At 36.5% G+C, this 27,534-nt stretch overlaps 2 protein-coding genes across 38 annotated transcripts in view, besides 3 other annotated features; one reads left to right on the top strand and one right to left on the bottom strand.

Moving 5' to 3' along the window:
• Window positions 1-387: 387 nt before the first annotated feature.
• On the bottom strand, window positions 388-24,641 carry PPWD1 (peptidylprolyl isomerase domain and WD repeat containing 1). 6 transcript variants are annotated; one of them, NM_001278926.2, is made up of 12 exons: window positions 24,431-24,641; window positions 24,098-24,134; window positions 20,322-20,424; window positions 18,205-18,305; window positions 17,939-18,059; window positions 15,651-16,098; window positions 10,868-11,058; window positions 8,324-8,513; window positions 4,718-4,899; window positions 2,842-2,923; window positions 1,756-1,938; window positions 388-684 (listed from the first exon to the last, which is right to left on the bottom strand). In NM_001278926.2, the coding sequence occupies exons 1-12, from the start codon at window positions 24,497-24,499 to the stop codon at window positions 541-543; spliced, it is 1,851 nt and encodes a 616-aa protein (NP_001265855.1). In that variant the 5' UTR covers window positions 24,500-24,641; the 3' UTR covers window positions 388-540. The 6 variants fall into 6 exon arrangements, with proteins under 6 accessions (NP_001265855.1, NP_056157.1, NP_001265856.1 ...); NM_015342.4 differs by lacking the exon at window positions 24,098-24,134; NM_001278927.2 differs by lacking the exon at window positions 24,098-24,134 and having other exon boundaries at window positions 17,939-17,961; window positions 18,280-18,305.
• Window positions 24,192-24,852: an enhancer, noted in NCBI's record as "NANOG-H3K27ac-H3K4me1 hESC enhancer chr5:64858912-64859572 (GRCh37/hg19 assembly coordinates)". NCBI's record gives its function as "activates a minimal SCP1, AML or CMV promoter by ChIP-STARR-seq in naive H9 embryonic stem cells {active_cell/tissue: H9 hESC(naive)}" and the evidence as "EXISTENCE:reporter gene assay evidence [ECO:0000049][PMID:30033119]".
• The window catches only part of CENPK (centromere protein K), a 67,545-nt gene continuing 64,779 nt past the window's right edge, over window positions 24,769-27,534 (top strand). For 13 of the 32 annotated variants that reach the window (XR_007058619.1, XR_007058618.1, XR_007058617.1 and 10 more), the window contains exons 1-2: window positions 24,769-24,839; window positions 26,373-26,440. Coding sequence is in view for 13 of the 32 variants with exons in the window: in XM_017009696.3 (XP_016865185.1) it covers window positions 26,426-26,440 (15 nt within the window). In the remaining 19 variants the exon portion in view is untranslated. Of the gene's footprint in view, window positions 25,135-26,372; window positions 26,475-27,534 lie in introns of all 32 variants that reach the window. The other 19 variants (NM_001349369.2, XM_024446148.2, XM_011543541.3 and 16 more) reach the window with 7 other exon arrangements.
• Window positions 24,853-25,514: an enhancer, noted in NCBI's record as "NANOG-H3K27ac-H3K4me1 hESC enhancer chr5:64858250-64858911 (GRCh37/hg19 assembly coordinates)". NCBI's record gives its function as "activates a minimal SCP1, AML or CMV promoter by ChIP-STARR-seq in naive H9 embryonic stem cells {active_cell/tissue: H9 hESC(naive)}" and the evidence as "EXISTENCE:reporter gene assay evidence [ECO:0000049][PMID:30033119]".
• Window positions 24,993-25,132: an enhancer, noted in NCBI's record as "active region_22606". NCBI's record gives its function as "activates an Ori minimal core promoter by ATAC-STARR-seq in GM12878 lymphoblastoid cells {active_cell/tissue: GM12878}" and the evidence as "EXISTENCE:reporter gene assay evidence [ECO:0000049][PMID:35858748]".

Below are 27,534 nucleotides of genomic sequence, written 5' to 3'. Positions count from 1 at the left end.
CCTGAAACTTCAGATGATACTAAACCCCATATATATTGTGTTTTCATATATATATATCTATGATAAAGTTTAATTTATAAATTAGGCACAGTAAGAGATTAACAACAATAAAATAGAACAACTATAGCAGTATACTGTAATAAAAGTTAGTGAATGTGGTCTTGCTGTCTGAAAATATCTCACTGTATTGTACTCACCTATTTTTGGATCATGGTTGACAGTAGAAAGAAAACCATGGGAAAGGGGGTGGAGGAGAGTACTGTAATTATTTAATATTTAATTTGAGGCTGATTAGAAATTACCTATAATGAGTGCTATTTGCCTGAGTTTAGTCCATTTCAATTTATCACCTCCCAGGATTAGAAATATTGCGAGAAAAGTCAAAGGTAATTTTTAAAAAATAGCCTTTAATAAAAAATACAAAAATACTGTATCTTTGAAACATGATCTGTATATTCAGCAAGTCCTAAGCTTCCTAATGTAAAATAATCTGTTTAATATTGTATTTTTATTTGCAAGTACATTAAAACAAATCTTATTTTACTTGACAGTAATATTTATGATGCTGACATCCTCATAGGGCTTATCTGTTTTGGGATTGACTTTGACGTTGGAGATCCTCTGTACAACTTCCATTCCTTTAGTCACTCGTCCAAATACTGTATGCTTATTATCAAGCCAAGGCTGTGTTGGAGGACAAATGGAAAATCTTGGTAAACCCCAATTTCTTTAAATTATATCCTCTGGTTGAGCAAATTAAAGAGAATTTAAGTTTACGCTCCCCTTTAGCATATATTTAAAAAGAAGTACAATAATTTCTCAGCAATAAAAATGTAGCAGCTTTTAAAAGTTATTTCCAGTGTGTTAAAAAAAATAGAAGCATAGTATAATGTTTAATTAAATATCTGCATCTTTCAGACCAAAGGGAACTGGAAGATCTTCCCTAAAGGTAAGTTACTTCACATGGCTTACAGAATTGTGGCTAAGGCTTTAAAAGGTCTCTGGAGGACTCTTACCTGAACAGTTTATTCAGAGGCAGTTTGAAATAGTTTATGCAGCACATACTTTGGCATTAGACAGGTGGGAGTTCAAATGCTAGCTTGGCTACTTGACCTTTTGGCAAGTTAATCATGTCTCACTGTTTCTTCATCTATTATTGAAAACTGGGGATACTGATAGTAGAAGTACTGTGAATACTACATAAAACTATGTGCCTGGCAGATGGTAGTTACATTTTTCCCTTCTTCATCACTTAGTGCTTAATTCCAAAACAAAAACTAGGTAATTTTTATAATTTTGTGTTATGGCATAGCAATAGAGCTAGGTTACCTTATACTGTATTTCATCAAATCTAATGTATTCTGATTTCAGAGATACTAAAATGTGGGGGAAATTGTCTCAAAATTGTGAATTCATATACTCTAATCTTTGTATTCTAAAGACAAGGAAATAGGCTCACAGAAGTGAAATAATTTATTTTAGGTTACATCATCAGTAGAGGCAGAGTTGAGATTGAAACTCAAGTATCTTGAATCGTAGTCCATTGTATTTCTTACTACAGTGGCAGTATTGTTTTACCAATTCTAAACTGATTAGTCACATAATTTTATATTCTTGATCATTTTCATATTTGTATTCTGCTAGATGATATAAATAATGCAGAAAATACAGAATAATGCAGCTCTTCTACTGAGTTCACTCTCTTACATCATAACCTATCAATCTGTAGTTTATAAACAATGATACTGTACTTACCGTTGGTACTACCGTTATGAAAAACTGGGATCCATTAGTATTTGATCCCGCGTTAGCCATGCTGAGTGTGTATGGCCTGTCATGTCGTAATGTTGAATGAAATTCATCTTCAAATTCTCCTCCCCATATGCTTTCTCCTCCCATACCAGTACCTGTTGGATCTCCAGTCTGAATCATAAAGCCCTTAACAGAAAGTACACAAAAACATTACATTGTCCTTTTCGATATATGTACGCTTTGAAGTTTTATTTCTGCCAAGAGTGCTTTGTATTCAGTGTAATATTAACTGTCACTATAAAGTGATTTGATTAAACCCTTAACACTTAAATTTGGATGATGTATTTCCATTGCCCAACCACCACCTTGATTGAAACATAAATGCAAAGGTCGTCTTCTCATTTATAGACATGTTCTGTCTTTCTCAATAACCCAAATAAAGCCAGTTAATACTATCAATTTTAGGATCTGTATGTTATGTTTTATATAATTGCCCTCCTCTTCTCCCTCTCCCTTTCCCCAAATACTCTGGATTTCCTGGAAAGCCTTTTCGCTAATTCCTTTAGGACCCTGAGATCTGACTTTTCATCCTGCCGTTTCTGACCTGCCAGAAACCAAGCACTGTATCAGTGCCCCATCCACTTTATGGAAAGCTGCTCAACAAAATCCAGGGGCTGAGTTCTCTCTCCTCCTCTGGTATATTACAGGTTCTCACAGATCAGATGGCACTGTGGCTCCTCTATGATTGAAAAATCATATCTTCTAGATCTAGACCCTATCTAGCCACGACAAAGAGGTTACCTAGGTTACTGATGTAATCTCAGCATGACCCTTTATTCATTATCTTACCCTTTACTTTAGCTGCTGACAAAATATTGCTTCAGTGTTTCTAATCATGCCACTATTCCTGTTGATTCTAGATGTTGATATTTATGACCATCCACTCCTCCTTTGGCTTCCATAGTGTATTTTTCCTGTTCCTTTCCACTAAACTGATTAAGTGTGAGAGAAGAAGATTCCTTGCGCTTAAATCTCTTGCTATGTAATAATACAGTATTTCTTATATGACATGAAATTTATGTAACTTACCTTAATTATACGGTGAAATGTATGCCCATTATAATAACCATTTCTGCTGTGAACACAGAAGTTTTCCACTGTCTTAGGGCACCTATTAAGACATATGTTACAAATATGAAACCTATTCAGAGCATCTTAAAACAGTTTTCTTTGCAGTTCTGCTTCCTAATGATGTTTCCTTTCCATGTCTTCTGAATGTTTCAGAAGGACAGTTGTTTTTTTTTTTCATAATCTCTAATCTCAGGACAAGCACGGAGGGTCATGTAAGTAGTATATTCTTATTGTTCAACTTAGTTATCTTTAGAACATGACTGCTTAACTAATATTTGAGTTTGACAGTATTAAAATTTCAAGGTCATTTAGCAGTCAAAAAAAATACAGCCATAGCACCTTAAAAATATGTTTTTTTCTTAAGAGACAAGGTCTCACTATATTGCCTAGGCTGATCTTGACTTTCTGGACTCAAGACATCCTCCTGCCTCAGCCTCCTAAAGTGCTGAGATTACAGGCCTGAGCCACTGTACCTGGCCCAATATCTTAAGTTAGTTTACTCCATATAGTATTATAGGTCTGCATGTAGTAGTATAGGTTAAGTTCCTGGGAAAGGTCATTTTCTTACAAAAGCATTGTTATGCTACAGCGACATACTCTTGGCCAAAACCTTAATCATAGAAATGACATCTAAATTTATTCAACTTTAAATGACAATCACACTCAGAGTACGAAGCTTTCTCAATAATATTAACTGAAAATTATGCAATTATTTCATACGGTTCATTACCATGTAATACTTCTAAGAGCTGGAAATGGACGAACCAAGAGAATCTTGTACCCAAGTACATCAGCAAACAAGGCCGAAGAGTACATGGGTTTTGAGCACTTAAAGTGAGACTGTCCAAGAGTCTAGAGCTGCCTAGTTATTTGTTGAGTACCAAGATATGGTATAAAACGTTCATATTCAAAATGTTAATAAATAAGAACTTTTAAGTAAAAGTGTTGTAAAAGATGTCATTTTTTGGGTCAAGAATGGCCAGAGATACTCTACTGTATTTGACATTGTATGTTAATTTTACAGTCTTTTAAACTGTCCAGAAAACTGTTCACCTTTTTTTCAATTGAAGCCCTTACGGTTTTGTTGTAATTTGTTTTTGTAGAAACAGGGTCTCACTCTGTTGCCCAGGTTGGAGTGCAGTGGTTTGACCATAGCTAACTGCAGCCTCAAACTCCTGAGCTCAAGACATCTTTTGACCTCAGCCTCTAGCATAGCCAGGAATACAGGTGCGTGCCACCATGCCCAGCTAATAAAAAAAAATTTTTTTTAAGAGATAGAGTCTTGCCGTGTTGCTCGGGCTAGTCTCAAACTGCTGGCCTCCACTGATCTTCCTGTCTTAACCTCCTGAATAGCTGGGATTACAAGTGCGTGCCACTGCACCCAGCTTGTAGTTCACTTTTAAAACACAGAGCTACTGAAACTATAAAGAGATAGTAGGTATCTAGCAACTGTTGGTAAGGAAACATAATTATCTTTCTCTTAAGGATTTGCTTTGAGAGGAAAGCAAAGCAATCCACAAAACCTAGAGTTCAGATGTGCTGTTAACAGTAACAGTGATACACATTTGTGTATCACTTTACAGTTTACACTCAGCACTTTCATAGCCAATACATTTTGTCCTCGTAATGAACCTATAAAGTATATATGCATAAAAATTTCCCATTTTCTACCGTAACACTTATCAGAAAGCTCAGGAATAGATGTTTTTTATCAAACGTTTCTTCAAAATTCCTTAAGTCAAAGTAACGGGAATTTTAAGTTGCATGGTTTCTTCAGATATACACATTTACATTCTTAATTACATAAGCCAATAAAAACAGTTGTTATACATACTCAACAGGAAAAAGTTTGGTGTGAATGTCTCCCATGCTGGTGTGGATAATGGCACTGTCCGAAACTCGTTTAGGTCCTTCAGCTTGAGTAGCTGCCATGACTTCTTCTTTAGAAGGTTTCTCATTAAAAACATCTCGATCAGAATCTGCACTTTTCGTATCTTCTGGTTCTCGTTTGGTAAACTCAAGGAGGAAAGTAAAAAGTGAGTCAACGAATTAAAGTTTTCATCTGGTAAAAATTTTATGAACAATAGAATTTCTAATGAAGTACTTAAGAAATGTAAGAATTCACATCAGAATCCTTATTTCAGGAATCACTTCCCATACAGGATGTGTCAGGCAATTAAATTATTTTTACATTGTCTAATATGAAAAGGATCCACATAACATACTGAACACATTGATTTCAAATGGAATTTAATTTCTTTGGTTAGAAATTTTCTTGGGCAAACATTTAACAAGAATAATTGTTTCATTTGTGGTAGCTCTCGACTTATGCCTTCTAGTAAGGCCTAACATGCCACCTGTTTGTTGCTCAGTTCATTATTTAGATTGTTTGGATTTGAATTCCAGTTCTGCGACTTTGGGGATGTGAATTCATTTCTTCTCTTCCCTCACTCATATATGATGATAACAGTACATACCTTGCAATGAAGGTAGTTGTGAAGATTAAACGAATAGATATTAAGTCCTTGGAGAACAGTGCCTAATACATAGAGGGTACTATATACATATTAACAGTTGTTATTACTACTATGAGCAGGACCCCATGCTAGGTAGAATAAGGATTCACAAAAATGAATCTGAAATGGATCCTTAATTTTTTTTCACAGTCCCAACTGACCTAGAATCTAAACCCTGAAGCATAGGAGAAAGAATGCAAATTTTCAGTGAAGTTGTAGAAATCTCAGATCCTTGGGGTCTAGGAAGAATTGAGAAAAACCTTTCAGTTGTTAAAACTCTGGACTTCTCAAGGCCTGTTTCTTTAAGTAGAAATGCTCTCTCCTAAGCAACCTCTATCTGATGTAACTTAATTATGGGAACGTAAAGCTAGTGCCTCCATCCCTATCTTGCCTAATGTCATTCCTTGATCTGCTTGGATAGATTCCAAATAAACAACCAAGTTAGGATGCTATCACCTTAACATCCTATTCTCCAGTTTTCAAAGGAATGGCATGTCTGTTGTACTATTTGTTTATATGAATTTTTTAAAGTTATGACTTAGCTGATATATGGATTTGTAAAATCATACTTTTATTTCATGATGTTGGATCTGAAAAATTATGATTTAGCTCATATATGGATTTGTAAAATTATACTTTTATTTCATGTTGGATCTGAAAAATGGGACACAAAATTCATATATATGCATACCATTTTAGTTTTGCTTAAGAATATGTACTAGTAAGACTCAAAGAAAATTCGTAACAATGTTAGCTGTATAAAGCTACAGTGAATGACTTATTTTGTTTCTCTATTTTTTCAAACTTTATAATGAATATATATACTTTGATCAACACACAAGTAAACTTGGAAAAGAAAAAATATAAGTTTTTTGAATAAAGTGGATGGAAAATTAGTGTATGTGTTTTGAGTGTATATCAAGAAATATCCTTTTTTGCCTGTTTTTGTTTAGCAATAGGGTCTTGCTCTGTCACCTAGGCTGAAGTGCAGTGGTGTGATCATAGCTCACTGCAACCTTGAATTCGTTGGCTCAAGAGATCCTACCACATCAGCTTCCAGCATGGCTGAGACCACATGTGCACACCACCATGCCTGGTTAGCTTCTTAAATTTTTTGTAGAGATGAGGTCTTGCTATGTTGCCCAGGCAGGTCTTGGTCCTGGGCTCAAATGATCTTTCTGCTTGGGCCCCCGCAAAGTGCTGTTTTTACAGGGATAAGCCACCATTCCTGGCCAAGAATTATCTTTTATGGGTAATTTTTACTTCCTAACAAAGTTAAATTAAAGGTAAAACGATTAATTTTTTTCCTTCATATACTAATAAATTTTTAGTAATAATTTTGAAAGGTGTAAATGAAATTCTCATCTTAAAAGTATTTACCCATTTAGATGGAAGGTTGGTTGGGGTAGGGAAACTGCTATTTCATACATTTATCAAATGCTGTTAACCTTAATAGCATTACATCAGTTTACAATGTTTTGGAGGAATGAATGAATATACTGTAATGCTGTAGTCATTTCCTAACTTTCTGGATTTAACAGTGAAGAAGACATAGTGCCTGTATTTATGGATTTTATCTTCAGAAGAAGAGCACAGCGTCAGAGGCCAAAAAAATAAATTATTGATGTTCACACAAAAAGTGTGACACATCATATGACAGGGGAAGCATAAGAGAAACATAGCAGGCACATCTAACTCAGACTTGATGTTAAAAAGGGCTTCCAGGCTGGGTGCGGTGGCTCACGCCTGTAATTCCAGCACTTTGGGAGGCTGAGTCAGGTGGATTACCTGAGGTCAAGAGTTCGAGACCAGCCTGGCCAACATGGTGAAACCCTGTCACTACTAAAAATACAAAAATTAGCTGGGTATGGTGGCATGCACCTATAATCCCAGCTACCCAGGAGACTGAGGCAGGCGAATTGCTGGAACCCAGGAGGCAGAGGCTGCAGTGAGCTGAAGTCACGTCACTGCACTCTAGCCTGGGCAACAGAGCAAGATGCCATCTCCAAAAAACAGAGGGGCTTCCAAACTGAAACTTGAAGTATGAGTTAGGAGTTGGAGAGAGGTGTGTGGCTGGTAGAATGAATAGCCTGTGCAAAGGCCCAGAGTTTAAAAAGCACACTCAACTACATGTGAACTTTCAGTATGGTTCGTGTAGCAAATGAATGAAAAATGAAGAAAGATAAAGCTACAGAAGTGAGGAGGGCCAGCCAGCATAGATAGCTGGGGCACCATTAAAGGGTATTAGGCAGAAAATAAGAGTCACGTTTGGGTCTTAAAAAGTTCTCTGATTCCATTGTGAAGGATAGAATGCAAGGGCATAGGTCTCTATACTTTTGATTTTCCTGCTTGGATGAACAAATAAAATTGTGCTACTCCTTCATGGCACGGTAGTTTGATTTTAACTATCTCAGTCTTAGTTAACATGCAAAGTACTTTTAGTTCTCCAGAAGAGAAAAAAAAAATTCCACAGGAATATATAATTCCAAGGTAGCACCATTAAAATAAAAGTCAAAAGGTAAAAAAGGAAATGCATTTAGAGAAGGAAGCTGTGCTAATTTGGGGAAGATAAATTATATTCAAGAGTAAAGGCTGAAAAAATAAAAACACTTTTAAAATCCCACAGTGAAACTATTTTGGATGTAATTATGACTATAACCACTAACTTCCTACTATCTAAAACAACACAAATAGTTGTGGAAACGAGGTTGAAAAATTTCAAAACATGATGGAAAACAGTACAGAAATACTTAAAATCAACTTCTACTTTAAAATTCTACAATATTAATGTAAGATGGTATTCTGGTTGTTTAGGAAGTCTGCTATTAGTGCCAACATTCTCTTCAGTTGAAGGTACAAACAAAGAAAAGTCAAACCAAACTGGAAGGAACATTACCGTCTAATCTCCTAGTACTTACACATACCATATAAAATCTATTCTTTTTGAATGATGTACAGACTATTGTTGGGTCAGCTTGAATATTCTGAAGAACAGGATTTTCAGAAGCTTTCATTTCTATAGTAGTTGCAGCACGATGCTTTTTGGCTATCCCCTGGAACAAAGCCAATTGCATCACTCTAATATTTTCTTGTTTGCCTAAAATCCGCACACACCTAAAAATATAACAATGTTTTATACAACAGAATCACCGAAGTTAATTCCAATTATGACAACTTTACAGATAAAAGCTGGGAATCAACTATCTTATCTATGTACAAAATAACTAGTGAAAGATTTTTAAAAGTGTTTCTCTACCCCCCAAAAGGTATCAATTTAAACTGGTAGGCAGCTATAATTTTCAGGTTAAAAAACAGAAATGAGGCCAGGCACGGTGGCTCACACCTGTAATCCCAGCACTTTGGGAGGCCGAGGCAGGCAGATCACTTGAGGTCAGGAGTTCGAGACCAGCCTGGCCAACGTGGTGAAACCCCATCGCCATTAAAAATACAAGAAATTGGTCAAGCATGGTGGCAGGCACCTGTAATCCCAACTACTAGGGAGGCTGAGACACAAGAATCACTTGAACTCAGGAGGCAGAGGTTGTGAGCCGAGATCGTGCCACTGCTCTCCAGCCTGGGTGACAGAACAAGACTCCATCTCAATAAAAAACAACAACAACAAAAAACCAATCAAGAGAATGAAAAGTCACAGACTAGGAGAACGGCTCATAAAGGACTGTTATCCAAAATATATAAAAAACTCTTTTTTTAAAAAAAAGTATATATATACACATATATATGTATATATATATACACATATATATGTATATATATATACACATATATGTGTGTATATATATATGTATATATATATGTATATACATATATATAAAGAACTCTTAAAACACAACAATAAGAACACAACCCAATTAAAAAATGTCCCAAGGACCTTCACATATACTTCATCAAAGAGATATACAAATGGTAAATAGCATATGAAAAGATACTCCACCTCATATGTTGCCAGGGAAATCCACACTAAAACAAGATACCATTACACATCTATTAAAATGGCCCAAATCTGGAACACTGACAATACCAAATGGTGGCACAGATGTGGAGTGACAGGAACACTCATTCATTGCTGGTGGGAATGCAAAAAGAGTATAGCCACTTCGAAAGGCAGTTTGGCTGTTACAAAACTAAACATTCTGTTACCATATGATCCAGCAATTGTGCTCCTTGGTATTTACCAAAAGGAGCTGAAATGACTACACAAACACCTGTACACAGATGATTATAGCAGCTTTTATACATAACTGCCAAAACTTGGAAGCAACCAAGATGTCTTTCAGTACGTGAATGGATCAACTGTGGTACATCCAGACAATGGAGTATTATTCAGTGCTAAAAAGAAATGAGCTATCAAGCTGTGGTGAGGCATGGAGGAAACTTAAATGCATATTACCGAAAGGAGCCAATCTGGACAGACTACATACTGTATGATTTTAGCTATATCACATTCTGGAAGAGGCAAAACTATGGAGATGGTGAAAAGATCAGTGGTTGAACAGTCAGAGCAGAGGATTTTGAAGGCAGTAAAACTACTCTATATGATAATATGATGGTGGATACATGCCATTATACATTTCTCCAAACCTATAGAATATACAACACCAAGGGTGAACCCTAATGTAAACTATGGACTCTGGGTGTCAATGTAGGTTCATCAATGGAACAAATGGACCACTCTGGTGGGGGACGTTGATAATGGGGAGGCTATGCATGTGTTGGGGCAGAGGGTATATGGAAAATCTCTGTATCTTCCTCTTAATTTTGCTGTGAACCTAAAACTGTTCAAAAAAGTAAGGTCTATTAAAAACAATCAATCATTTGTTTATACAGTTTTAACCTATTCTTATTAAAATTCCATGTCTGTTAACTGTTCTGCAAAACTTCAAAGATTTTGTATTGCCAAGAACTACAATATAAATATGTTTATACATGGAAATGTACAGGACATTTTTTTCTCCTTAAAATATTAAGTTCTGTTCATTTACATTCAGTGAGAGTATCTGATTGTAGCTATTTTGTACTAAGACCAAATGGACTGTTTTCACAAAAAAGGCTTACTGTGGTTTCATGCATTTTAACTTTTGATTTTATGTCTAGCAGGAAGTAATGCTGAATTCTGTGGTTAAAATCTTTGGCAACATTTAACATGAACCAGGCTAATTTAAATCAATAAGCAAAAGACAGACAAACTTGTTAAAAAAAACACACAACAACTTGAAACTATGCATATCTTCTTTCCATTTCTTTTACAAACATGAGTGGAAACTTTCTACATAAGATTATAAACAACCAAGAGACCACAGAAAAATCCAGTCAAAACATTTGGTTAAGTTTAGACATTTGGGGCCATTCCACTTTTCTTGGAACAAACAATACTCCCACTGTTCCCATGATGGAGGAAATGGTCCCCCACAAACACATTTTTAAAAAACATACCTCATATTAAAGCTTACCGGTTTGTCTCTACATTTATAACTTTAATGCCCAGCATTGTTCCATACAGCACGAAGTGTCCAGTTTCATCAAAAACTATATTAATTAATCTTACAGCATCAACCTTCTCCAACTCACGTTCTACAGCCATTCGTCGGCCAAATTCCATGTCTGGTAACTGTTGCCTCATCTGTTGCAGTTCAGTAAACATCTAGGAAATAAACCATTTAGTAACAAAAACTCTATATACATATACCTATATCTATATCAACCCATCTATCTATATATGCAATGAGAATTTAAATAGAAGCAGAATACATATTAAGAGCCACTAACTGTTTGTACTTCTTAAGAGGGATTCTAAACAATATGAAATAGACATTAGTAAGTCCAATCACTAAAAAATAGTATTTCAGGCTGGGCATGGTGGCTTATGCCTCTAATCCCAGCATTTTGGGAGGCCAAGGCAGGTGGATCACCTGACATCAGTTCAAGAACAGCCTGGCCAACATGGTGAAACCCCGTCTCCACTAAAAACATAAAAACTTAGCCGGGCATGGTGATGTGTGCCTGTAATCCCAGCTACTCGGGAGGCTGGGGCAAGAGAATCGCTTGAACCTAGGAGGCAGACGCTGCAGTGAGCCGAAATTGCGCCACTGCACTCTGGCCTGGGGGACAGAGTGAGACTCCGTCTCAAAAAAAAAAAAAAAAAAAAATTGTATTTCAAAATGGTAACTGGTTCTTCTAATTTAAAACAAAACCCGGTTGGTTAATAGAACTACTGCTTTCTCTACAGAATACATCTGCTGCCTTTTAAAAGTCACAGAGTAGCACTTTCCAATGAAATATAACACAAGCCACATAGGTAATTTTAAAGTGTCTAGTAACATTAAACAAAGTATAAAGAAAACAGGTGAATTTCATTTTAATGTTTGATTAAACTCAAAATATCCAGAATATCATCTCAACAATATAAAAAATTGAGATAACTTACATTCTTTTAAAAAAAATTAAGTCTTTGAAATCTTGTATTTTACACTTTCAGCATATCTCAGTTTGGACTAGCCATCTATCAAATGCTCAGTAGACACGTGGCTAGTGACTGTTTATACTGGATAATGCAGCTATAGACTATGAGGTCCTTGAGCAAGGTTACGTGCCTGACATAACAAGCACTCAATTTTTGCTGAATGAATTCATCTCACTAATTTATAACAAATTCATAATATTTCAGAAAATGTCTCAAGTTATTCTGACACAGGGCAGTGAGATTACCATTAGGTACATGTTATTTAGTAGACATGACTATTTCTATAAGTGTCCTTTATAGTTTGGAAATTTGGTTTACTTTTCTTTTGATATTACACAAATTTCAAGATAGGCATCACATCTCAATAACTGTATTAACATATTATGAACCTTCCAAAAGAGTAACGATCTTTACATTCTTTTCTACACAATCAGGGCATCAAACAGTAGCATTCAAAAATAGCTCTCCATTGCAGATGAAAATAAGCCAGACTTCTGTCCCATCTAATTCTATCCTTATTTCATGCTTATATTAACCATAATCTTGTGTTTTCTAGATAAGGTTAGAACTATATACAAAACTCAAAAAATCAAAATGAGGTATGTGTGTTAGGGTATAAGCACAAGGTCAAGGTCTTACAGAACAGTTAAAAAGCCTAGTTGTTAGGTTTTCTTGTCTCTAGTCTCAAAGACAGGGAGACTGATACATATTACGCTGCTTATTCATGTGCCAGGAATAGCCTAGGATGCTGGACTACACATTTTGCAGGGAAGGGCTAATGATCATTTCTGCCGGAGAGAAGACTCAGTTTTTAAGGCATAAGGTCTGTAGGTGGTCATCTGTCCCTATATAAGTATTCCATAAATGTTATCCAACCTGGTAAGTACCTGATCAGAATCTTTTTCAGAGTGCTCTAGACTTCATAGCAGGGCTTCTGTGATATTCAACTGCACAGCCATATATAGTGACCCTGGTTAATAAATACTAAAAGATAATTTACACCATCCCATTCAATTTCTTTTCTGTTAAACTAGGATTCCGACTGGTTAGAAACTACCCTCCTCCACTACCACCTCCTTGAGATTCCAGTCATTTACTAGTCACTAGCACTGTAAGTAATTTAACTGATGGTTGGCTTTTTTGGCAAACTCTCATTCTGAATCTCCACTTCTGTCTTAAGTTCTACTACTGACTTCTTGTCACCTCAGGCTAATCATTTAAGCAAATGTTGAAGACAACAATGAGCAAATAGAGTGGATTGAGCAGCTCAGAGTATGTGTGTTAAGAGATTTGTGCCGGCCGGGCGCGGTGGCTCACGCCTGTAATCCCAGCACTTTGGGAGGCCGAGGCGGGTGGATCATGAGGTCAGGAGATCGAGACCATCCTGGCTAACAAGGTGAAACCCCGTCTCTACTAAAAATACAAAAAATTAGCCGGGCGCAGTGGCGGGCGCCTGTAGTCCCAGCTACTCGGGAGGCTGAGGCAGGAGAATGGCGTGAACCCGGGAAGCGGAGCTTGCAGTGAGCCGCGATTGAGCCACTACAGTCCGCAGTCCGGCCTGGGCAACAGGGCGAGACTCCGTCTCAAAAAAAAAAAAAAAAAAAAAAAAAAGAGATTTGTGTCCAGAGACTAGATTCTGAATATTTCTTTGCCTAAGGGATCTTGGAAGAGCTGCAAGTTAATAGAATTTTAAAATTATATTTAAATTGCAAGTCATATTTAGTTATCTGCCACCATTAAAGAAAGTATTACCGATAAATGTTTCTCCTTAAAAGCAGAGTGGAAAGCTATCTTCTTCCAACAAGAAAATTTGTCATAAGGATAATTTGGCTGGCAAACAGATCTTCACATTTGTCTGGAAATATATTACTTCAGACAGACAGACAACCAACTCATTTATTACCACGTGCCACCAAATCAAGATCGCCACTAGAAAGAGTTGACAGAATTTATGAAGAGCTTACAGCAGGGAATCCAATGCAAATTGGTCACTGCCAAGGACAAAAGAACTGACACTGTCATACAATAAACTTTGCTACAAAGGTTCAATCCAGACTCAGAGGATTCAGAGAACCACTTGATGGCAATAGTTGCAATCACAGAAACCGCTTAACTGCATGGATTAAAAACTCTTATTCCACGACTACATGCTGTAACAAATTCTTGTTAGCAGTCTAACAAGTGATGGCTAGAGTCACTCTTTCAAAATATTTGAGTAACTCTTGTGTGAGGTACTGTTCTCACTGCTGGAGATAGAATCATAAGTTAAAACAGATCACATAGGGCTTAGTCTACTGGAGGTGATACACATTAATCAAATAATATGACCATATCAAATGCTCTAAAAGAAACAGTGATCTACAGTCACATTAAAAAAAACTCTGCTGGCTTGGCACCGTGCCTCACACCTGTAATCCCAGCACTTTGGGACGCCAAGGCAGGCAGATCACTTGAGGCCAGGAGTTCAAGACCAGCCTGGCTAACACGGTGAAACCCGTCTGTACTTAAAAAAAAAAAAAAAAAAAAAAAAAAAAAAAAAAAAACCATCTGTACTAAAAAAAACCCATCTCTAATAAAAAAAAAATATATATATATATATATTAGCTAAGTGTGGTGGCACACGCCTATAGTCCCAGCTACTTGGGAAGCTGAGACAGGAGAATCGCTTGAACCCAGGGGGCGGAGGTTGCAGTGAGCTGGATCATGCCACTGCACTCAAGTGCAACTCTGTCTCAGAAAATAAATTAATTAAATAAATAAATAATAAAAAATAAAAAAACTGTGCAAGACAGGATGACTAGTGAAAGCCTTCCAGGGGAAGTGACTCTTCATTTGAAATTTGAAGTACCAGTTCAATAGGTAATGGAGGAATATGAGGAGGGAGGGCCTCACTCCAGGTGGAGGAAACAACTTATAAAAAGGTCCTGTGGTGGGAGGCAGGTTCAAGAAATAAAAAGAAGACCCAAATGGCAGAATAAAAGGCAGGGAGAAAGGTGACTTATGGTATCACAACATGGTAAGCCATGACTCTGGTCTTGATCCCAAGAACAGAAGGAATTAACTGAAAAGTTCTAGGCAAAGGAATGACATGACCAGATATATGCTTGTAAAAGATGGCCCTGGGTGCAGAGTGGATATTAGGAAGAAGCCAGAATAAATACAGGTAGTAGGCCATGTAATAGGTCAGGCAAAAGAGCATGAACTATGGTTAGTGACAGCTGTGCTGAAAAGAAATTGGTGAATTTAAAGTATATTTGGAAAGCAAAATTGGCAGGACTCCAGTGAATTACACAGAAGGGTAAAAGAGTTAAGGATAACTCTTAGATTTCTGGTTTGAGCAACTAGATGGATACTGGCACCATTTATGAAGACAGGACAAGAGATAGCACCAGGTTTGCTTGTAATAGAAGGTTAGAGAAGTAAATTTAGAAGTAGTCATAGGGACAGGAGTGAATAAAGAGTGAGAAGATAAGGGGTCCTAGAATGAGTTTTGAGGATCTTAACAGCTTGCAAACAAAACAAAATTGTAAAAAACAAAATAACCACAAAAATAAGACAATAATTGACTTGAAAAACGCACATCATAAACCCCTAGAGAAGAGACTTTCAAAGAGCAACACTACAAGACAGAAACAGTTGAATATCTCTAATGTGCTAAGAAAAAAATAAGTCTATCTAAATGTCTATCTGTAGAAAAAAGATCTTTCAAGAAAAGGCATAAAATAAAGCATTTTTAGAAAAGTAAAGTACGGTTAAATTTAAATTACACTTACGCTTAGTGATTCATCAAAGACTCTCATGAGTTTTCCAGTTACAAATCTGAAAATTCTAACTTTTCTATCAGAACCAATAGTAGCTATTTTCTTCCCATCTGGTGAAAAACATACGCTGGTTGGATAAGCCTTACACTTGGCAAATTCATATAAATCAGTGTCAGTTTTATATTCCCAGTTCACATTTTTGGGGAATTTATATTCATGAGGAGGCCCAGTCCAGTATTCAATCATCCCAGATTTGTCAGAAGACACTACTGCTTTGTAAACTGGGTTTAGCCGTATCTGAGTAAGAGGTGATGTATGGAGTTTGTCAAAAATATGAAGTGGCTGGTTATCTCCTCGGCCATCATAAATGAAAATTTTTCCTGTACTCTTTTCGGAAGCAGCAACTGAAGAAATTGCATCCCCTGGGCAATAGATCCACTCACACTGTCCAGGAAAATAGCTAAAATCGTAAAGAATTGAGAGGGAAAAAAAAAGGTCAGCACAACAAGCAAGCATCCCTCCCTATCCCACTACCAAAAATGTCTTGGCTGGTGATTTAGACAGTTTTGGATTCCTTGCTCAAAAGTAGCAGAGACACAGAATGGGGAGGAACAGCTAAGAATAGTTACTTATTTTTTCTCTTTCTGACCTCATCAGTATAATGATAGTTCTAAGGATCTGTCAAAACATAAGAAAAGAACTGCATATAGCAGCACACTTATTTCTCTTGGGCAGATAAGGAAACCTAATCAGATCTGGACCTTAAGATCTTCTGGGACATTGCTTTTTGGATCTCTGTACAACAGTCTATGTATAACTTACTTTAAAATAGATTAGCATGTAATAGTGTATTTTATAAATCCTTTCTTGAAATATTTAAATCAAATATTTTATTATGACAATACGTCAAAGAAAAACACTGTCCTAAAACACTCTCATTACTAACTAAATCTTGATATTAAAACTCAAAGCTTTAAACATTCTACCTGATGAACAAGGCATAACAGAATTCAGACTGATCTAATCAATTGTACTAAAACACTCAAAAATGAATGTTGTTTCCTTCAAAGTAGAGATTCGGAGAAGTGACACTATTATTCTAACCACGGTGCTGATGTTCAAAACCTTCCAGACCTCTTCTTCAAGAATTTCTATCAAAGTCTGAAATATACTCTTCCAAGTATTCTCAAAGGGCAAACATTCAATATCTGTGAATGGAAAGCTTTGAGGAAACAAACCTGGGGAGTAGGACAGGTGATCAAGACAGGTATGTTTGTGCCATTCTAACCATAAATAATGAGATTTATTTCCTTTAGTGGCTCATAAAGTCATAAACTGATTTTGAAGGAAATTCTAAGATGTGAAATTATTTGAATTGTGGGCATAATTCAGCCCACAGTTGGAATTCCATCAGTTGGAATTTCTAGAGACATGGTCTTCAGGAGGTAATTAAGGTTAATGAGCTCATAAGAGTCAGGGTGGGGTCCTAATCTGATGGGCTTGTAGCCTTATAAGAAGAAAAAAAGATCTCCCTTTCCTTCTTCCCTCTCCCTTCCTTCTTCCTCCAACCATGGGAGAACATAGGGAGAAGTAAGAAAGACAGCCCTCATCAGAAATCAAACCCTGATGGAACCTTGATCTTGGACTTTCCAGCCTCCAGAACTGTGAGAAAATAGATTTCTGTATTTAAGTCACCTAGTCTATGGTTTTTTTGTTATGGCATCCAAGCAGACTAAGGCGAGTCCCAAAACTTTCTGACACTGTTATGACTTTCAAGCTGACATTCATTTAGATGTGTATAAATTCTATGTTATCTTAAAAAAGACATGCTTAAAACAAAGTATCAGTCTTAATACTGTACAATCTAACCATAGTTTTAGTATCAATATATTCCAAAGTTTAAAGTCACCAATAAATAGCTTTAATTCCAAAAATGTGAATAAATCTTATAGGAACTCAATTCTATATTACTGAAATAAGTAAAGCAAGGAAGTTAACTGTAACTACCAGTAATTAGATATGACAGAGCTCCAGTAATATTACTAAGTAATGTCAATTTGGATATAAGGAATCCTTGTTATGATGCTGTTTAGAAATTTCTGTGATTGATAACAAATCATAGCAGATGCTTCCAAACATTATAAGGCTTCACTGTATCTAATTTTCCAAGCAAAACCCAACAGCACATTTTATTTAAAGATATGGTAATATACTATTTAGAAATAACCTATTAAATGGTAAAGTCTGATTTACAAATTACTTCAATAAGTTAAAATATATATACTTTTAAAAAGACTCACCCAAGTTTCAGCATGTTGATCATGTCAAAGTTCACTACATCAAACACCTTCATTGCTTTATCATCACCCACAGAACAGAACAATGCTCCCTCAGAGCTAACTGCAATACTCTCAATAACTCCTATTTCAATAAATGAAATTAAAACATTCTAGTAAATAACAGTAAAATAAGTGTGCATGATTCAAAGAAAAAAAATTTAAAAAATTTAAACTTTAATTAGTATAGTTTAGGAAAGAGCTACAAGAAAATGAGGTGCAATTCTTACCCAGGTGACTACGAAAATGTTTAACAAATTCAATTCCCTCTTCTATTTTTTTCCAGAACTTGACATGTCCATCATGACTGGCAGTAATAATAAAATCTGTTCTGCATATATGAAATGTTAAAAGTTAATTTCTAAGACAGATCTATGAATCACTTAGTATTCCCAAAGCAATCATTCACTAAGAATCTGACTTGTGCATAATAGGTTTTTTTTTAAAAAAAACCCTTCTTTAAGCAGACCACTATATTACAGAACACTGCAAATTTTGAAACTCCTTTCTGGATGTCAAAACAGTTACAGCTGTACTAATTTTAACCTCAAGAGCTAGGATCAGAATTGAACTAGAATTTGACATTAAAATAAAAATCTCACTAGGAATCACTACACTTTGGATTCCTTATTGCTAAAATTACCCTACAGACAGTCTTTTCACAAGAAAATAAACTATTTGTCAGTAGCTGATAAGTAAATCTAAACATACTACTTTCATACGCAACAAAATTCAACAAAAGTTTTTTTTATATCCTATACAAGGTATTTTGGTTACTTAAGTATCAAAAAGATTTTGTACAGAAGAATCTTTCCTATTAGGTATGTAAAAATAGAAATCATTTATGGAAACCCAGTATATGTCAGGTACTTTGTACATATTACCTTAGTTAATTTTACAGCAACTCTACGTATTTTTATCATCATTTTATAAGTAGGAAATAGTTTTAAAATGTTAAATGTACTTGCCTCAGGTCCATATAGCTAGAGTGGCTTTCAATCTACCACACCACAAAACCTATATTCTCTGTATTACCTTCCATTGTCTTGGGTTAAAAAAACAAAACAAAAATATTTGAGAAGAGAGTGACAGCAATGCTAATATGTATATATATACTGTTTTACCACACTGATAACTTGAGACTAGAAAAGGTGCTAATATTTGGTCAGAATTATCCTATTTTACATGAAATATAAATATTTTATTTAGATTTATATATGAAATTAAATTTGTCTTCAAGACATCAAGAATAGACTGATCTAAAAAAGTGTAAAGTAATCCACCTACTTCCCATACTCACTGCTAGTATCATCCAAGCCACCATATCTCATCCAGATTTCTATACCAGCTTCCTAACTTATCTCCCTGTATCCATTCTTGCCCTGTTTGAATCCATTCATCTCACCACAGCCAGGGTGGTCCTTTAATAAAAATAAATCTGATGATGTTACTCTCCTGCTCACAGGTTCAAAACCCGTACAAGAAATAAAAAGTCTTCTAGGATTTAGCCCTTGCCTTTTAAATAGCAGCCTAATATGCTATCTAACCTCTCTAAACTTCAGTTTCGTCATCTCTAAAATGAAGAGCATGTACTAACTCACAAGATTATCCTTATGATAAATAAGAAAATTTATGAAAAAGCCTTAACTTGATAGATAAAAAAAGAAAAAGCCTTAGCATAGTACCTGGGACATACTATAAGCTCAACAAACAGTAGAATATTACTACAGTTTGAGTATCCCTTATCCAAAATGTATCGGACCAGAAGTGTTTTGGAGTTTCAATTTCTCAGATTTTAGAATATTTACATTATACTTGCTGGTTGAACATCCCTAATCAGAAAATCTCAAATGCTCCAAAGAGCATTTTTTGAGTATCATGTTCAGCACTCAAAAACTATTGGATTTTGGAGCATTTTATATTTGGGGTGCTCAACTTGTACTATTATTATCCTTCTACACGAACCTACTCATCTGTTTTGAAGGTCCTTTGCTATTCCTAGGGTATGTTAGCCCACATTTTCTCCACTAGTGCCAAAGAGGCCAGGTACCAGTTACTCATATCTTAACTAATGTACCCTCTTCTTCAGGGAAGCTCAGACACTACCTGGTTCACTCCCCTCTTGGCATTTATCTCCAAAGACATACATATAAACTCAGGGGTTCTATCTTAGAGAATGCATTATTTGTACGATATAGGAAAGAACATGTAGGCCTTTATTTCAGAACTTAAGAAATTAAAAATCTACAAAATCTTAAAATTATCTCTATAAATCTACCTCAAAATTGAAGCTTTTTTTTTTTTTAAATAAACTCAGAACAAAGTAAAAAAGATGTGATAGACTTACTTGGTGCATACCACATGGGTGATAACATCTCTATGCATGTAACTGCGCTCATACATGGATGCACTGGGGAGATTATCAAGATAGACTCTTTCAAACTCTAAGACTGAAGAAAAAAAAGTAAAGTATAAGATCTATTTTTAACAAATAAACCAAATACTATTTTGTATTTTCTTTATTTAAAATTGTCTACACTCTACTTGGTATTTTCTCCTGGATTTTAGTTTTTCTCAATTCACAATTAAAAAATCCAGTATGTTATCTCAGTTTTAACGTCTATTATTTCAGAGCACTGAATAGCGTCATTATTTAGTCAGTTACAACAGGTTCCCAGGTACTATATACATGCTAACTGTCCCCAGGACTTAAGAAATGAGTGCTTCTGGCTTAATGTGAATGTTCTATTAAAAAAAAAGAAAAGAAAAAAGAAAGAAAAAGGAAAAAAAATTAAAAAGTTCCATGAAAATATCACAACCATCTTCCTAACATTGTAGACATAATTTAGTGCTAACTTAAAAGAGTCCAGTGGCCATCTGTAAGATGTCTCAGTTAATATTTAAAGCACTGATTCTCTTTCAAGTTATTGACACTGTGTTTGAAACATTTAAACATGGTAAAATTCTTAGATTTTTATGCCTGAGAACATCCTAGGGAGTATCCAGTTGAATGTATCTCAAATTTTTTCCAACGGCAAAACCTGGAAAAAATCCACCTGAAAGAGTAGTAATCTGAGGAATGTCAGGAAATACTGATTTATTATATGAGGTATGAACAATTTTACTAGCAAAAAAAAAAAAAGAAAGAAAGGGATGGAGAGAATGAGGGAGGGAAGTAAGGAAGGAAAGAAGGGAGGGAAAGAAAGACGAAGGGAGGGAGGGAGAGAAGAAGGAAGAGAAAGAAGGGAAGGAAGGAGGGAACGAGGGGAGGGGAGAATTATATGTATCCCAAATAAAATAACTGAACGATGACCAAACGTGCCTAAAAAAAGTTGCTAAATTAAACATGACGAGCTGTTTCAGGCTTGTGTCTGATAAACTACTTTTCCCTTCATTTTTAGGAACAGAACCCCCATTTATATATGGGCATACTGATGTCCAGATATAACATGACCTTTCTCACTTTCCCCTGGAGTGAGGTTTAACCATATGCTAATGAGTAAAAGTGGAAATGTTTTGTCACAGGAAGTCTTGAAAAAGTGTACCCTTCTTCCTTTCCTCAATCCTATAGCTTGGAACTGGGATATAACTGCTGTAATCTTAATAATCATTCAGAGAAATGAAGATGAGGGCTGTACCTTAGTTATGTTGGGCAGAAAGCTGGAGAGAGCCTAGGAACTTCTGGAGCCTCCACACCAATCCTGGACTGCCTGCCTGTCTTGGTACTTCTACACATAAAAGTACAGCTCTATCTCTTCAACATCGTTATTTTGGGTTTTTCTGTAGTATGTAGATAAACTTAATCCTATCTGATCCAGATTCCTTTTTCTGTGTGATAGTTCACTTGTGGACAAATACTTACTAAGAACACAATACGTTCTAGGTCACATGGGCATAAAGAAGAGTAAAACACAGTTCCTGTCCTGAAGAGATATAGTGCTATATAATCATGTCTTTCTGAAAATATATACAACAGTCCAATGTCCAAAGAACATGTTAAAGGGGGTGACTCCATTTCTAGAAAGCTGAAATTGTTAAATACTTGTCCATTTAGACAAAATTTTAAATATTTTTGTAACATTCTATGTATGTTTTTTAGTTTCAATTTTTTTCTTCAAACTGAATAAACTATTGGCTTTTTTTTTTTTTTTTTTTGAGACGGAGTCTTGCTCTGTTGCCCATGCTGAAGTACAGTGGCACAATCTCAGCTCACTGCAACCTCTGCCTCCTGGGTTCAAGTGATTCTCCTGCCTCAGCCTCCTGAATAGCTGAGATTATAGGTGTGCGCCACCACGCCCGGCTAATTTTTTTGTATTTTTAGTAGAGACTGGCGGGGTTTCACCATGTTGGTCAGGCTGGTCTAGAACTCCTGACCTGATGATCTGCCCGCCTCAGCCTCCCAAAGTGCCAGGATTACAGGCATCAGCCACCACACCCGGCCAACTATTGGCTGTCTTAAAACAATAAATAACTGATTAAGAGGAAAGATTTTCACACCTACTAATTTATATCTGTCTCCGTTATATTAAGTTTATAAGACACTTGTCCGGTAACACTAATATCAGCATTTCGATATTTCTGGATTTTTACATTTCTCCTTACTCGTTTAATTAAAAAAGAACTTGCAAAAATATTCATATGCAACAAAATAGCTAAAGACCAGCATAAAAGCTTTAATATGCAGTCATTAAATACTTAGGCAAAGCACTGTACACCAAGCAATGAAACAAAAAAGGCGTGATTCTGGTTCTTACTTGTTTACAGTCTTAGCAGTGGAGAGAAACATTCATCAATCACATGAATAAATATATAATTAGAAACTGCGGCAAGTGCCATAAATAAAATGGTTACTATGGAAACATTTAATAAGAGGACCAGGAAGTAAAAATGATAATGCACTGTAAGGGTGTCAATATACAACGTTCAAAAAAACAGCTTCTTCAAAATTTGGATACATAAAATTTGAAGGCTACCTGTAAATTCAGTATTGATATATAACTACCTCAGAGTTATGATCAAAGTGCTTCAGAAATCCAGTCCAGACTGGAGAAGTCACAGGCTTCCCAGAGAAGATGATAGCTAAGTGCTAAAGGTTGACCAAAAGTCAGTTCAGTGGAAGAGTTGAGGGAAATTATTCCCGGTAGAAACACCATATCTGGGTAGGAATCCAGAGGAAAAAAAAGTACAAGACCGATTCTCGAGTGATTTTAGAATGGGTGGAGTACAAAGTAAGGGGTTGGGAGAGGAAGGTAATGGAAGATGCACTAAGAAGGTAAGGAGAGATCACATCATAAAGGGCTTTATATGCCATGTGAGGGAGTTTGGGCTTTAATGAAAATAATGAGCTGGGCGCCGTGGCTCATGCCTGTAATCCCAGCACTTTTGAGAGGCCGAGGCAGGCAGATTACGAGGTCAAGAAATCAAGACCATCCTGGCCAACATGGTGAAACCCCGTCCCTACTAAAAATACAAAAATTAGCTGGGCGTGCGCCTGTAGCCCCAGCTACTCGGGAGGCTGAGGCAGGAGAATCGCTTGAACCCCGGAGACGGAGGTTGCGGTGAGCCGAGATAGCGCCACTGCATGCGCTCCAGCCTGGGCGACAGAGCGAGACTCCGTCTCAAAAAAAAAAAAAAAAAAAAAAAAGAGAGAGAAAATAATGACAAATCATTGAAGTTTTTTAAGGGAAGGTGCTAAAGTACGATTTGAGCTTAGACCACATTTAAAATGTCTTAAATACTTAAGGAAAACATTTCACAGAAAAACAAGATAACAAAACAACAAAGACAAGAAAACTTAATCTACCCCTTTTCCCACCCCTTTTATTTGATAATAATTTGTGATTATTCCTCGTTAGTGACAAAAAGACTCAGCCCATCGTATCAAGAGCGTGATTTCAAAACCACAGACTTCGGGTTTTGGATGAAAACAAATCTGTGATCTAGGAAGCTTACGTCATTTTCCCTAGATGCGAAAATTTATTAGTGGAAGTGTCAGAGTTGAAATTATCTTTACCTACCATGATTCGAAATAAGCACCGCCTTCCTCTCGCGCCCCAACACATTAATACATTAACACCACTCCTGAACTAAAGCCTTAAAGAGAACTGGTACCCTTTTGCATACCTAAATAAGAGTTCGAAATTCCAACTTCATGTGGCTGCTGTGGGGAGTAAATGAGAGGAGCCAAACACATAAGAATAGGAAAATGTTAGTTTTAGCATCTGTCATAACAAATCAATGATCAAAAGTGTTAGATATTATCAAAAAGACGTTGTACTACGCTTAAATCACTATTTCGTTAAGACATGCAAGTATGGAGTAGCCAGAAGTGAGAGGACGGCCCTCTGTTCTGAGGGCACAAAACTCCACACATCATCCCTCTTCGGATCTGGCTTGAACCCTCCTACTCAGCGGACGCAGCACTCCAATTCGTCCCGGTACTATGTCTGCAGCTACCTTTCCTCTTCTTGGCCAGTGTTGCCTCCACAGGTAAAGGTCCAACCCAGCGCTCTTCGTTCTCCTCATCGTTCTCCTGGGACACCGCCACTGCTACTGCCAGCTCTCTTTCGCTGAGTTCTGTTTTTTCCGGTTCCTCCGGGTCCCGGCGCCTTCTACGTCTCTGCTGAAAATCGCTACCACTTTCCGCCGCCATGTTGTTCGCATCGTCAGAAAAGGCGCGACACAAAACTCAGCTACCAATCCCAAAGCAGCGGCGCAGTCTTCTGTCAGCGTCCGAGCGAGTTTCGGGATTGGCTGGGGTGGGAATGAGCACATCCAATGGGCATGCAGCGCGCGCAGAAGTCCGGGGCTGGCAAGCGCTTCCTGCGCAGCGCCTAGGCGACCTGGAGTTTGTGACGCTGTGATGGTAAGACCTGGGCCGGGGAGGTTGATATAACGGTTGAATCTTGTGGAGCTCCAGTCCTGAAGGTGAAACCCTTATCGCCGGCCAACTAGATACCTGACTTCCCAGCCGGGCTTTGAGTCCCGTTCTTCTCGGCTTCCCGCGCGCCAACGCAAGCTCCATAACCTCACCAATATTTAGAGAAAGATGGAAGGGTGGGGACAGAAGGAAGTGGTTAACTCGCGGGTTTCCTTTCAGATGCACTAAACATGTTTTCTCTCCTGACCTTTATTCTCTCACACACTCTCTGAAGAAGGTGGTGAGTGCTTGTTACTGTTTCTGGGGGTGGGGTGGAGAAGCAGCTACTTCAAATAACCAAAAGACCTAGGGCAGAACGGGTCACTCTTCTTTCTTCTCTCTGGTATAGGATTTCATCTCCTAGCAGTCATCTGAACTCTTTCTCCTCCTCCTCATCTGTCTTCTTCATTTTTAAAAAATTAGGTAAAAAGCACATAACATAAAATGTATTATCTTAATCTCTTTTTTAAAAAATCAAATACAGCTTGTCAAAATGACCTCCGTAAAACACTTCTTTTTTCTCTGCAATTACTTTTGCACCAACCTAATAAAATCCTCGTCGTAAATCTCTTCTCTACTTTTGCCTTGAGATAGGCACCACGTACAGGGAAGGAACTGCCCCCCCATAGTAGGCACTTTATTTTATTTCAAAGGTTCCCATTATTTGACCATTCTACCTAGCAAGTCTCATTTCTTCTCTGCCCTCTGCTCTCATCAGACTACTTTCTTTTGTGTCTCACAAATTTCCCTTGTTCGTTCTTGCCTCCTACTCTTATGTTTTTATGCTTGAAAGCATCTCCACAGCGATTTAGCCTTCATGTTTACAGCTTCTCATCTTTCAGAGACCAATGCAATAATGAGGATGAAGATGATAATGATAATGATAATAATAATGTAGCTAGTTAACATTTATTAAGCATTATTATGGACTAATTCCTTCCGGGTTGGTTTTTCTAAGCTTCCCTATCCTGAATTCCGATAGTACTTGCAGGCAGTGTTGTATACTTTACCATTTCATAGCACTTCTGACTACCTGAAATCATATCATGTATTTAGTTATCCATTCATTTATATTGTCTGCATGAGAATGGAAGCTCTACAAGTACAAAGACTTTTTCATCTACACAGCTAAAGCCAGTGTCTGACCAATGGCACACATTAACATATTTGTTGAATAAATGAATGTATTTTAGAATTATGTGGGTATTTTTTGCTTATTTCATGTATATTAATCTTTTCCCAATTAATAGTACGAGTTTCTTTAAGTATAGTATTATCCCTAAATAAAGAGATACTGTTTTTCTTCAATAAATGATTAAGTATTGTAGTCCTAACTGGGGACCTCAAAAAGTTGACTTGTTCCCTTTCCAGGAAGATAGGTTTAAGGATACAAAATGTGGGAACGGGAAAAGTTCAACTCTTAAGTGTGTGTGTGTGTGTGTGTGTTTTAATTAAACAACTGAAATTTATTTCTCACAGGTCTAGAGGCTGGAGATTCAAGATCTGGGTGCCATCATTTTCTGGTTCTGTTGATGACCCTCTTCCAGGTTACATACAGCTTACATCTTGCATCCTCAAGCGGTAGAGAGCAAACTCTTAAATGTTTCTATATGTTTTTATTCTACTGCCACATTAAATCGCCAAGCCAGATAATTTGTTGAATATTTATCCCTCACCCTCCGCCCCCACCACATGTGCAGAGTTTTGCATTACTTTTGCATATTGATAATGTATTTTGGTGGTCAGTAAAGAAATATTTATGTTTGACTTTTTCGCTTAAAAATATTCTAAAATTCATGATGACTGATTTTGGCTTTGTGAACTTAAACTGTATCTTATGGGTATAGCAGGTGAGATTTTCAGCCTTCTACTAGTTGACATTCAAATTGTTAATAGCTAACACTGATAAAGCTCTTTATATGCTAGCTACAGTACTTATATATATATATTTATATACTCATTTAATTGTCATAACCCTAGGGAGTATTTAATATTATCTTCATTTTATAGGAAAGGAAACTGAGGCATAGAAAGTTTAAGTGACTTGCCCAAGTCTCATAGCTTTTAAATATCAAAACAGATTTAAACCTGTATAGTCTGGTTGCAGAGTTCATACCTTTAAAGTTTTTTTTTCTCTAAGTAATGTGCCAGTAAACATAATTGTATAGACTTATGCAGACATATCTATCTTTAGGATTATTCCTAAGAATAGAACTTCTGGATCACAAGAAATGCATGTAAAATTTTGATGGATATTATCATACAAAGTGATTGTTCCACCAACAGTGCAAGCCTCTTATTTCACATGCTTGCCAGTATTATCTCTTACCAATTTTACATTATTGCCATTCTGAATGAAAATTAATGCTTGTTTAATTTGGATTTTCATAAATTATATATGAGCTTATGAATGTACTTTTTCTGTATTTAAAAGGTATTTGTTTTTTCTTTGAATTCCTCATTTGTGTTCTTTGCCAGTTTCTATTGAATTGTTTTTGTTGTTTACCTTTTTATTGTAAAAATGCAGACACAAAATAAACGTAAAGTTTACTAATTATTATGAGGTGAACACCCTTACCATCATGCTAGTCAAAAAATAAAACTTTGATAATTACCTCAGAAATCTCTCCATTTGGCCCAT

This window comes from Homo sapiens, chromosome 5 (genome assembly GCF_000001405.40).
Source record: "Homo sapiens chromosome 5, GRCh38.p14 Primary Assembly".
Lineage (NCBI taxonomy): Eukaryota > Metazoa > Chordata > Mammalia > Primates > Hominidae > Homo > Homo sapiens.
Note: the sequence above shows the minus strand (reverse complement) of the source record. Positions and strands in the feature narration are given on the sequence as shown.

What these genes read in the sequence shown, in the direction of transcription:
- PPWD1 (NM_015342.4), bottom strand. Translation starts at nt 24,626, where the DNA reads ATGGCGGCGGAAAGTGGTAGCGATTTTCAGCAGAGACGTAGAAGGCGC. An exon ending in ACATTTTCGTAGTCACCTGG is followed by an intron (nt 18,060 to 18,204) that starts GTAAGAATTGCA and finishes TTATTGAAATAG; the next exon opens with GAGTTATTGAGAGTATTGCA. An exon ending in ACCAAACTTTTTCCTGTTGA is followed by an intron (nt 2,924 to 4,717) that starts GTATGTATAACA and finishes ATGTCTTAATAG; the next exon opens with GTGCCCTAAGACAGTGGAAA.